The 12,371-nt window shown below is 39.3% G+C and overlaps 2 long non-coding RNA genes across 2 annotated transcripts in view, besides 1 other annotated feature; one reads left to right on the top strand and one right to left on the bottom strand.

Annotated features, from left to right (window-relative positions):
* Positions 1-12,371, top strand: part of LINC02542 (long intergenic non-protein coding RNA 2542) — a 257,985-nt gene that overhangs the window by 24,787 nt on the left and 220,827 nt on the right. The window contains exon 2 of the long non-coding RNA NR_149135.1: positions 4,734-4,802. This is a non-coding gene — a long non-coding RNA (long intergenic non-protein coding RNA 2542). The remainder of the gene's footprint in view (positions 1-4,733; positions 4,803-12,371) is intronic.
* Positions 1-12,371, bottom strand: part of LOC107986617 (uncharacterized) — a 97,872-nt gene that overhangs the window by 38,497 nt on the left and 47,004 nt on the right. The window contains exon 3 of the long non-coding RNA XR_001744231.2: positions 7,875-8,132. This is a non-coding gene — a long non-coding RNA (uncharacterized LOC107986617). The remainder of the gene's footprint in view (positions 1-7,874; positions 8,133-12,371) is intronic.
* Positions 9,858-9,937: an enhancer, noted in NCBI's record as "active region_24776". NCBI's record gives its function as "activates an Ori minimal core promoter by ATAC-STARR-seq in GM12878 lymphoblastoid cells {active_cell/tissue: GM12878}" and the evidence as "EXISTENCE:reporter gene assay evidence [ECO:0000049][PMID:35858748]".

The following is a 12,371-nucleotide window of genomic DNA, read 5'->3' as shown; positions in this document are numbered from 1 at the left end:
CCCTTAGCTGAGTAAAGGGTAGACTGAGGATATTTCTGGCCCTGACTGTAGTCTGTAAGAAAACAGAAAAACAGAAACAAGTGGAAATATAAAGAGGAGTAAGCCTCATCCAGGCAGTGGTAACCTGGAGTAAGGATAGTCACACAGAGCGCTGTAGTCCTCAAAGCAAGACTGTTCCAAATCATGTTTATTGAGCATTCACAATTTCAGAAGACCTGGTCTCAGAGCTGCTGGAGCCTAAATCCTAAGAAAACAGATGAACAGAGTGATCACTGCATGATGTTTTCTCACATTTATTTCATCCTTTATTCCAGGGTGGGAATTGTGTACTGATTATGATTATGGTAGGTAGGAAAACACTTTAAACTTAAGTTTTGTGAGAGAATTGAGGTAATCATTGGGGAAAAAAGAGGCATGGGAGAGAATTATGCCAAGCATATTGGATGGGATGGAAAAAATAAGAGTTTGAGGAAAGCGAGGGTTATTTTATGAAACAAGTGAACATATATTTTTTCTTATATTATTTGTTTTGTGATCAATTCAAAAGCTTTTGCTTTTCACATGTGAACCTTTTTAAAAACTTTTATTTTAGGTTCAGGCATACATATGCAGGTTCATTATACAGGTAAATTGCATGTCACGGGGGTTTGGTGTACAGATTATTTTGTCATCCAGGTAGTAAGTGTGTAGTACCTGAGAGGTAGTTTTTTGATCTTCTCCCTCCTCCCCACCTCCACCCTCAAGTATGCCCTGGTGTCTGTTGCTCCCTTCTTTGTGTCCATGTGTGCTCAATATTTAGCTCCCACTTATAAGTGAGAACATGCAGTATTTGATTTTCTGTTCCTGTGTTAGTTTCCTTAAGATAATATGTAAGCCGATATTTGAGAAGGAAAATTAAAGAATGGAATGGAGGGAAATAATATCAGTAGGAAAGCCTGAAAACAAACTGGGACAACTAATTTTATTCATTCATTCACTCATTCATTCACCCATGTAATTGTCTAATGCTTGCCAGGCAAAATAACAGATCCCACTAACTTTGTTTTGTTCCTTTTTTTAAATAGAATGGCAAAAAGCTGGAGCTATTCTTTTTTTTTTTTTTTTTTTTTTTTTTTGGAGATGGAGTCTCACTCTCCCGAGTAGCTGGGATTACAGGCATGTGCCACCATGCCCAGCTAATTTTTTTTTTTTTTTTTTTTTAGTAGAGACGAGGTTTCACCATGTTGTCCAGGTTGTTCTCAAACTCCTGACCTTAGGTGATCCACCTGCCTCGACCTCCCAAAGTGCTGAGATTATAGGCATAAGCCACCGTGCCTGGCCAAATGGAGCTATTCTTAACCTCAGCTCTGCAACTGTCTGTTTATTGCCATTTCTCAGCCAATTTACATGTCTCCTTTTCAGTCAACTCCACTAGGATCTATAGGCTCACAATATAAAATCAAAACTATACATATAATTAAATCATACAAATATACTATCTACTTTGTTATATTTTTATAATAAATACATACATAATTGACCAATATAGAATGTATATATTTGAATTGTGGAATAAAAAGGAAAGTAAAATATCTGATTATTTTCGTGATAATTTTCTATGTCATATATTTATCTGGATGATTAATTTCCCATTGAACTTAAGAAAATCTATTTTAAAGTATAAAAAATTCCTATTTACACCTGAAAGTAACATAGCTATTACTGGTATAATGATAGTGATAATAATAGCTAGCATATATTGTGTGCTTCATACCAGGTGCTATTCCAGATACTTTAAATATACTACTTTAGCTAATCCACACAACTTTTTGAAGAAAGTACTGTTATTATTTCTATTTCCTAGATGAGGAAACTGAGGCTCACAGTGTTTAAATCACTTTCCAGGGTGATGTGGAGAGAGAAGAGCTTGTGTTTAAGTGCAGTCTGGCTGGCAGGAGAACCAAGCTCTAAACTCCCAAACGCTACTGCATGTGCAGTGTTTATGGTTTAGCAATAGCACTTAATAGATATGTAATGTTGCCAGAGTGGCGTGGTGCTACTTCATATCAATTCATCAGGAATACTTCATGGTGCAGAGATGCATCTTGTGCATCAGCACACAGAAAACTGGAAAAACACAAATATTTTACACTGTTCTTGATCTTTCAACTGTAGTCATTTAGGAATTTTACCATTTCCTTCTTTGGCCTGTGGGCCATTGTTATTTCTCCTACTTACAATTCAAATTCCCACGAGAATAGAATTAGGAGGTTTTCCTTTTCCCTGATAGAGAGCCAGACAGCTGACAGGAAATGCTAGAAAGAAACCTAAGAATTTGAAGAAATAATTTCCAAAGTTACCTACCATTCCTTTCATTTAATTTACTTTTTCCCTCTTAACAACTTCTCTCCCTTTCTATTTCTTCTTCCCTTCCCTCAGCTTAAGAGGTATAATGGTTTTTTCTTCCTTTTTTTTTTGAGATGGAGTTTCGCTCTTGTTGCCCAGGCTGGAGTGCAATGGCGCAATCTTGGCTCACTGCAACCTCCGCCTCCCGAGTTCAAGGGATTCTCCTGCCTCAGCCTCCTGAGTAGTTGGGATTACAGGCATGCGCCACCACACCCAGCTAATTTTGTATTTTTAGTATAGATGGGGTTTCTCCATGTTGGTCAGGCTGGTCCCAAACTCCCAACCTCAGGTGATCTGCCCTCCTCGGCCTCCCAAACTGCTGGGATTACAGGTGTGAGCCACCGCGCCCAACCTCTATTTCTCTCTTTTTTTTTTTTTAAATTATACTTTAAGTTCTAGGGTACATGTGCACGACGTGCAGGTTTGTTACATATGTATACATACGTCATGTTGGTGTGCTGCATCCATCAACTTGTCATTTACATTAGGTATATCTCCTAATGCTATCCCTCCCCCAGTCCCCCACCCCACAACAGGCGCCGGTGTGATGTTCCCCACCCTGTCCAGCCTCTATTTCTTTAATCTTCCTCAGACTCATCTCCATAGGTTATCTGGAATATCTTTTTAAAAATGTTATTCTGGAGGAAACAATCACTGGGTTGTGTAAATATTGTGGCAATATTTCTTTTCTTTCAAACTTCAGATGAGTTTGGGAGTCAGCGAACAAGCCATAGGATGTGTGTAGCTTTAGCTGTGCCAAGGGCAGTGGACTGGAGTTGGTCACTACGAGGAGGCCCAGGACTACATCCTCTCTTACAGGCACCATTGACCATGGGGCAGACAGCGCAGGTGGTGCTAGACAGGAGTAGGCTGCTTCTACTGTGTGAACACTCACCTCCCACAGGGCTCAGTCGTCAGGGCAAACCATGCTTCTTATTGACTGCTGAAAGGATTAGTCTGGCTTTTTTTCTCCTTTGTTTATCTGCTGTGAGTTCCCTCTGATATTTCTATTTGCGCAGCAGTGCCATCTACCTCTGTACCCTAACCCATCTCCCCATCTGCTAATTCCTCTGCAAGCTGGCACTCTGTCCTGAAGGTGGGAAGTAGTTTGACAGTCTTTGATAACACATCTCTTGTAAGTGACAGGCCAATGAAGAACAGCCATGCCAGGTTGGTGACTTGTTCAGATATGACTGCACAAATGTGAGTTCCATGCTTGGACAGAAGTCATATGGGCAGCTTGAGGGCCCTCTGAATTCAGATTTGAAGAAATGGACTCGGATGTTAATTCTTTTGGGGATATTGGACTGTATGCCAGAAGATTTCTAAGTTATTAAGTATTATTTCTGATGTTGTCAAAGCATCACATGTTAACTTTCCCAGTGAATGAAATTTATTTCCAAAGTGGTATACAAACAGCAATGGTTTCTGCCACTTTTGCCTGAAGCTACTTTAGTTGTTTATTCATAAATTTTATAGAGACTTAGCCATAGGTTATACGACTTCTGGTAGAGCTGAAAATCCACCTTCTGTGTGTATGTGTGCATGTGTGTAATGAATCCTTCAGAAGCCAGTATGGGTTTTCAGTGCCTTGGGCCCAGACCACAGGTTCTGTCTGAGTGCGCTCATTTCCAAGTGATGTGCAAGGAGTCATTGCTGTGGAATGATCTCATTTATGATGTGGATGGGAAATGGAAATTCCAGTTCTGTTTTTGCTTCAGAATATTTCTGCTTTTTTTGGTTTCCATTTAAATACTGAAATATTTAAATGCAAAACACGAGCAGATTTTTTCCCCAATGTACCTTATTTCATGCTTAACATTTTATTACCAAATTACGTTTACTCGGTAATAAGATATTCCTGGATAAGGATGCTACATAATGAACTTGGATCAGATTTTATTACCTGATTATCTTTTTACCTTGGCCAGGTTGGCAGCTTGAAATCTAGTCTTAATAAAATTTTGCTTATTTGACTTATTTATAATTGGTTTTTAAAAATAAGTTCTAAGGGGTGGATTTTGATTCTTGCCAGTGAAAGCTTATACTAATTTATTTTTTCCTGAAGGATCCTGAATGTGTTTAAAAAGCTATATTTAGGAAGGGCTTCATGCAACATCTGAGTAGTTGTGCAGCAGCTGGGTAACTGCACATAAGGAACTTGACTCAAAGCTCAGAATGCTAATTGAGAAAGAGCCTGTGTTTAGTTCCAAAGTCAAGGGGAAAGCAATGTGGGAGGTAATTATCCAATTTAGGATATTGCTTGTTTAAAAGAGTTACTGTGCTAATAAAAATATAATGAGGTCTAGTTCCCTGGTGCTGCTGTTTATTTTTGCATCTCTCCCCAGGAGATATCTCCAGGTGCAAGATGGCTCAGTGAGACCATGTCCTACTCTTGGCTCTGACTCAATTAGAAGGTGGGCGTCTACTTCCTGAAAAACACTAAACCCAATACTGACATGACACTGGGAAAGTAAATAATGTACAAGAACGGCAAGATAATCCTCTTGCTATTCTTGGCATTGGTGAGGGTCTTATGTCAAATTCTGGTTTATCATTATATTTTAATTTCAAGAGAGATTAGTGATAGGGAAGAATAAGAGGATGAAAATAAAGATTTAAAAAAAGGATTTAGGGAGGAGGGTTAAAGAACACAGTCATTGGTTTGGAGAAAATCATGTACATTTATAACATGTAACTTAAAGTGAAAATGTACTATGAATCTCAGGGGAATACCTCTGAAACAGGACAGTTAGAAATTTACCTGGGAAATAATCTAGGCCTCCTGTTGTACTGCAAACTTGAATAAATAAGATAGCTTTGGAAGTAAATGGCATTTTCAATATAGGAAGTAATGGATAAGGAAATTGTTTTTGGTCCATCTCAAAAATTCCCTTCTCTTCTAGCGTGATTTGCACATCGAGTGGAAGGGCTTTTGCCCTCTGGTCTGTTCTGGTTTTCAGTAACATAACATTAAGATTCTTTCTTTTGTGTTTCTTCTACATGTTTACTCCTTCTGGCTCCCACAACAGTCCTTTGCTCCCCACAATCCCTAACCTTCTACCGACTGGTCCCCCCCATCCCTTTACTACCCTGCATCCCCTTGTTGGCTTCTCTCCTTTCCTTAACAACCTTGATTCTGAGGCCAATTGTCATGTCGTTCCCTTATGTACACACTGGGCTACCCTTCGCCTCTCTCGTTTTGTAGAAGTCTCTTAGAAAGCCTAGAGCCCTGGTTCAGTCCAAGAGTCACCCTGCTCGGTGCCTGCTCTGTGCAGCTGGGCTTGGCTGGAGAAAACACTCAACTCAACCCCTTTAAATTCATCACCACACACACTAAATAGAACTTGGCAGCCACTGGACAGCCATTCTATACTTTCCTAGCTATTCACTCTCCCACTCTCCTGGACATGTATTTTACATCTTCTCCTCTCTTTGCTCCAAACTCCAACACCACCTCTTCCATCTTGACTCTCAGGTGAGGACCCCAATTCCTGCTTCATGAGTATATTGAAGTAAATAGAAGAGAACTTGCACAGATGACTACTGCCCTACCTATCTGCTTGGCAGCATCCACCTCGTCTGCCTTTGGTCTGCACCGTAGGAGCTCTGTGTCAATCCCTGTACTCTTGCATAGATCTCATCTCATCTTGCTTCCTCAAGGACATAGCTCCAGCAAGTCCCCTTTCTTTCTTCTAAGTTGTCATTTTTTCCTACTCTTCTCAATTGCCACCATCAGCATATATGTATGCACTTTTTCTTTCAATTTCAGAAGGCTTTCTTTCAATCCTCCTTCCCCTGCCAGCTGCCATATCATTTCATTGCTCCCCTTGTGTTAAAACAACCCTAAAGATATTTCTGTGCTCACTGTCTGCAAATCCTCTTTCCTCATTCCCTCTTAAGTCCACTTCAGTCAGGCTTATGCTCCAAATACTTCACCAGGATGGCTCTTGTCAAAGCCACCAGTGACCTCCTTGTTGGTAAATGTACTCAATAATTCTCAGTCCTCGTCTTACTTATCCTACCCATGAATCTAATAAAGTGGAAGCACTCCCTCCTTGACATCCTTGCTTTGCTTGCAGGATACCCCAATTTCTTGGGTTTCTTCCTATCTCATCAGTTTCTCCTTTTTTGTCTCCTTTGCTGCTTGTTCTGCTCTCCATTTCTCCATTTCTCTCCACTCCTCAGGTACTGTGGGTTCTGTTTATAGATCTCTTTTCTTTATCTATATTTATTTTCTTGTTGACCTCACCGAGTTTCATGATTTTGAATATCATCTGTGTGCTGATGTACTGTAATGAACATCTTCAGCCCATAACCTCTCCTGACCTTCAGATTTTTGTATGCAACTGCATACCTGACGTATCTAGTTGGATATTTAATAGAAATCTCAAATTTAATATGCCCCAAATACAGAGTCCCTGATCTTTCCTCCCAAATCTGTTTTACCTTCAACCTTTCCTATCTTGGTCAATGGCAACTCCATTTTTCCATTTGCTTACATACAAAACCTTGGAGTCACCCTTGACTATTTATTTCCCCTCATAACCTATGTCCAATCTATCAAGAAATTTTATTCTCTCTACCTTGAAAATATATCCATAATCTAACTATTCCTCGTCCCTAACACTGCAATACTGGCCTGTGCTATCATTTCCAGTTAGTCTCCTGGTTTCTACATTTGGTTTTCAACCTAGTATCTTTAAAAAAATGAAAGTTAGATGATGTAACTTCTCTTTTCTGACTCTATAATGGCTCCCATTTTTCCCAATTAAAAAACAAAGTCCTTATAATGTCCTATGGAGCCTACCTTAATTTCCTAGAGCTGTTGTAACAAAGTATCACAAACTGGATGGCTTGTAACAATGGAAATATTCTTTTACAGTTCTGGAGGCCAGAAGTACAATACCAAGGTGTTAGCATGCTCCCTTTGAAAGTTCTAGGGGAGAATCCTTCCTTGCCTCTTTCAGCTTCTTGTGACTCCTGGTGTTCCTTGGCCTGTGGCAGTGAAACTGATCTCTACTTCCCACTTTACACAGCCCTCTCTTTTCTCTTATAAGGACACTTGTTATTGTATTTAAGCCCCTGGATAATCCAGGATCATCTCATTTTGAGATGATTAAATTATTTGCATTTGTAAAAACTCCTTTTCCAAATAAGGTCACATTTACAGGTTCCAGGAGTTAGGATTTGGGCATATCTTTTGGGGGTCCCGCATTTATCCCACTCTAGATCCCCACCTTCTATGAACCTGTGTTACCTCTTGGACCACTCCTCTTCTTGATCACCTTTTTGAAACTACACTGGCTTCACTGATTATCTCAAACATGCCAGGTGCTCATAGATTAGGGCCTTTTGCACTGGCTGTTCCCTCTGCCTGTTACACTCTTCCTCCAGATATTGATAGGGCTCACTCCCTCGTTCATCTTTCTCATGAGGTCTCCCCTGGATACTCTATTTAAAACTGTAATGCTCACCTTCCTTCTTACCTTGCTTTTATTTTTTTTTTCTCCCATTTTAGTTGGATAGGACAATCCTTCTGCTTCATGTGGTGTTGCCTGGGGTGCTAGGATGGCTTGAGGGTCCAGATGGCCTCAGACATGTGGCTGGCAGTTGATTCTGGCTGCCATATGGGAGCTAAGTTGAAGCTGTTGGCCGAGGGCCTGGGTTCTTTTCCATGTGAGCCTCTCCATGTAGCTGTTTGGGCTTCTTCACTGATTGGTGGCTGAGTTCCAGGGAAGAATATTCTAAGAGGAAGGAAATAGAAGCTGCCAATCTTCTTAAGGTCTGGACTTAGAAGTACACAGAATATTATTTTCGCTGTATTCTTTTGGTCAAGGTAGTTGCAAGGCCAGTCCAGATTCAAGGGGAGAAAAAATAAACTCTGCCTCTCAGCTGAGGGAATGGCATGTTGTACACCAAAGACAGAAACTGATGTATAATTTTTAGAACTATCTACCAAAAGGACCTTCCTGGGTCCCTGATATTAGGCCATTGTGGCTGCCCACAAAATGGACATCTTTATCTTTGTGTTTATTCTTTTTCTTTTCTTTTTTGAGACGGAGTCTCGCTCTGTCACTCAGGTTGGAGTGCAGTGGCGGGATCTCGGCTCACCGCAAGCTCCGCCTCCCGGGTTCACGCCATTCTCCTGCCTCAGCCTCCCGAGTAGCTGGGACTGCAGGCGCCCACCACCACGCCCGGCTAATTTTTTGTATTTTTAGTAGAGACGGGGTTTCACCATGTTAGCCAGATGGTCTCGACCTCCTGACCTCGTGATCCACCCGCCTCGGCCTCCCAAAGTGCTGGGATTACAGGCGTGTTTATTCTTTTTATCCTGCCATCATGTTATTGACAGATCGCCCTGATCTTTAAAAAAGCAAATAAATAAGCAATATTTTTTAGATTTTAAAATTTGAAACACATAGATAAATCAGTTTATTAGCCATCCTCACTGTTCCATGCATGAAACTCATGAAAATTATTCTGTGTGCAGTGGAAGAAGATAAATCAATTTATTTTATTTTATTATTTATTTATTTATTTTTGAGATGCAGCTTAGCTCTCTCACCCAGGCTGGAGTGCAGTGGCTCAATCTCGGCTCACTGAAAACTCCTACTGCCATGTTCAAGCAATTCTCCTACCTCAGCCTCCCAAGTAGCTGGGATTACAGGCACCCGTCACCATGCTCAGCTAATTTTTGTATTTTCAGTAGAGACCAAACCATGTTGGCCAGGCTGGTCTCAAACTCCTGACCTCAAGTGATCTGCCCGCCTCGGCCTCCCAAAGTGCTGGGATGATAGGTGTGAGCCACCATGCCTGACCTGAGAAATTAATTGTTAAGCCTTAAAAATTAGTGCAAGTTTTATATAGTTTGCCTTAGTTTCACATTCAAAGAAATTACTCCTTGACATTATTACTGCTACTTGACAGGGTCCTGATCTATAATCATATAGAAGAGGCAATCATTATTATAAATAATATTTTGAAGGTCTCAAGCCATTCTAGTGATAGTGGATTTTAGAAAATCTCAATATAGTTAGGTAAGATTTTTCTGCTCTTACCTAGTAAAAATCAGTGATTAAATAAGAGGATATCTAATGGAAGCTAAAGTTTATTGCTTTTTGAAAGGGGTTATGCCACCTCCATTGTGAAACTACATTTCCTTAAATTGAAAATAGGGGATGTATGTCTTTTGTTTATATCGACTTTTCTGTTTCAGTCTGCTCTTACTGCCAAACAAAATATTACAGACTGTGTGGTTTAAACAAAAAACAATTTATTTCCCATAGTTCTGGAAGCTAGATGTCTAAGATCAGAGTGCCAGCGTGGTTGAATTCTGATGAGGGCCTACTTCCTCACTTGCAGACAGCTGCCTTCTCTCTGTGTCCTCACATGACAGAGAAAGGGAGGAGGAGAGAGAGACACAGAAAGAGAAACTGAGAGAGTGCGCACGAGAGAGCAAGCTCTTGCTTTCTGGTATCTCTTTTTTAAGGGACACTAATCTCATCATGAAGACCTCACTCTCATGACCTCATCTAAACCTGATTACCTCCCAAAGGCCCCATCTCCAAATATAATCACACTGGGGCTTAGGGCTTCAACATGTGAATGTGAGCTCATAGCATTGACTTATTTTTTTCATCTCTTCATATAGACTACTGGTAGCAGATGAGAATGAAACATAAATGAAGCAAAGAATACATTTCAACATAAGTTCTGTAAAATTCATTCACCAGTCATAAAATTTTATTTATCACAAATCTTTTCATAAGCTTATTCTCTTCAATATGGGAAATTATCGTTCAGCCAGGGATATGTAAAATTGGCATAGTAGAAAGACTAATGGCTTTTCAAAGGTGTCCACATCCTAACCTCTGGAATTTGTGAGCATGTTTTCTTACAGAGCACAAGGCACTTGGCAGATGTGATTAAGGCTACAGAATTTGAGTGGGGAAATTATACAGGTAGGCTCAATCTAATCACATGAGACCTTAAAAGTGGAGGAGATTGAGAAGGTCAGAGAGATTCAATATTAGAGGGGCTCAACCCACCAGTGTTGGCTTTGAAGATGCAGGAATGGGACCTCTAAAGGCTGGGAATAGCCCTCAGCTGACAGCCAGCAAAGAAACAACTACCTCAGCCTATAACCTGTAACCAAAAGGAACTGAATTCTGCCAACAACCCTAATGAGTAGGAAATAGATTCTCCCCTAGAGCCTCCAGAAAGGCATATGGTCTGCCAACACCATGATTTTAGTTCAGTAAAACCCATACTGGACTTCTGGTCCACAGAACTCTAAGACAATGCAATTGTATTGTTTTAAGCCACTAAATTTGCTATAATTTTTTATGGCAGCAAAACCCAAAACAAAACACAAAAACACACACAAAAAAACCTAACACCATTTGTTATGAATTAAAGACCTCAGTTTCCAAATTCTAAAAAGTCACCCAAACATGGCAGATTTTTCTAATCAACGAGAATAGTTGACACTTATTTTAGCAACTATTCTAGGACCATCACAGACATTTTTTGAATCACTGTAGTACTATGTTCTTTGAAAGCAATTACATATGATCCCTCACTTATGATGGTTCAACCTATGATTTTTCAACTTTATGATGGTGCAAAAGTGATATGTATTCAGTAGAAACTGTCCTTTGAGCACATATCCAACCATTCTGTTTTTCACTTTTACTATAGTATTCAATAAGTTATGTGAAATATTCAATACTTTATTATGAAATAGGCTTTGTGTTAGATTATTTTGCCCAACTGTAGGCTGGGCAAATGTATGTAAATGTTCTGAGCACATTTAAGTAGGCTAGGCTAAAGTAAGGTGTTCGATAGGTTATGTGTAGCAAATGCATTTCAGCTCACAATATTTTCAATTTATGATGGGTTTATTAAGATGTAATCCCATCATAAATCGAGGAGCATCCGTGTATCATTTTGAACTATGGCTTTTGACGTATTTCTAGGTGAGCTGGGAAACACTATGTCAGATTAACAGCTGGATTGGGAGAGTAGATAGGTCATGCTCAACACCAAGGAATAGAAGTTAGTGGAGGCATTCTGGAAAATTCAGAAGTTGTATAGAGTCTGAAGTCCTTAGTTCTTCTACTAAAATATTCCTTATTAAAGAAAACTGTGCTTGATTTCAGAGCACGACTCTAAATCCACGGTATAGTTGGATTCACATTCATCATGTAGCCCCCTCCTCTTTTTTCTTAACTTTCTAACTTTCAAGATGAAGACATTGAATACAAAGTCAAAGGTGACCCAGGTATTATAGTGTTGTTTTAATTACCTGGGAGCAAAGGTAAGCCACCTTGAGTGGACTTGTTTTAACACACTGAGGAGCTATCGGTAGGTTTTGCCAGATTAAAAACAAAGAAAAATTGGCATCAAACATAAAAATATTCAAACAAGAAAAAAATTTGCCAAATAATATTTTAGGCTACTTCACTAAGAAGCACTTTGGCTTTTGGTAAATGGATGAGGAATAAAACTAGAATCACGAGAGAGATTATTTCATGTCAGGCAAATTATTAGAAATACAGAGAAAATTAAATGATCTACTAAGCAGTCATGTGACTTAGTAGGCTATGCTAAACTATGATGTTTGATAGTTTAGATGTAATAAATTCGTTTTCAACTTACAATATTTAGGCTTACAATATTTCAACTTATAATATTAATATAGTGAATTAATTTTCCATCAGAAATTTTGAATCTGGGCAATGCAAGTTATTACCTTTGTTACCCTGGACACACTGAGCCTTGAACTTCATTTTCCTTATCCATAAAATGGGAATAATAACAATATTTGCCCTATTTATCAACTATGGCTCAAGGGAGAGATACTATGTGGAAAATAGTATTTTAGCAAACATAAAATATTGGGTATTCCAAAACATTATCATTAACACAAAAGACTTTTTATTACTTGTTTAATTTACTGAGAGAAATTATTGCACCTCTTC

The sequence above is a fragment of the Homo sapiens genome, chromosome 6, assembly GCF_000001405.40.
Source record: "Homo sapiens chromosome 6, GRCh38.p14 Primary Assembly".
Lineage (NCBI taxonomy): Eukaryota > Metazoa > Chordata > Mammalia > Primates > Hominidae > Homo > Homo sapiens.
The sequence above is the reverse complement of the archived record's forward strand: the minus strand, read 5'-3'. Positions and strand labels throughout refer to the sequence as shown.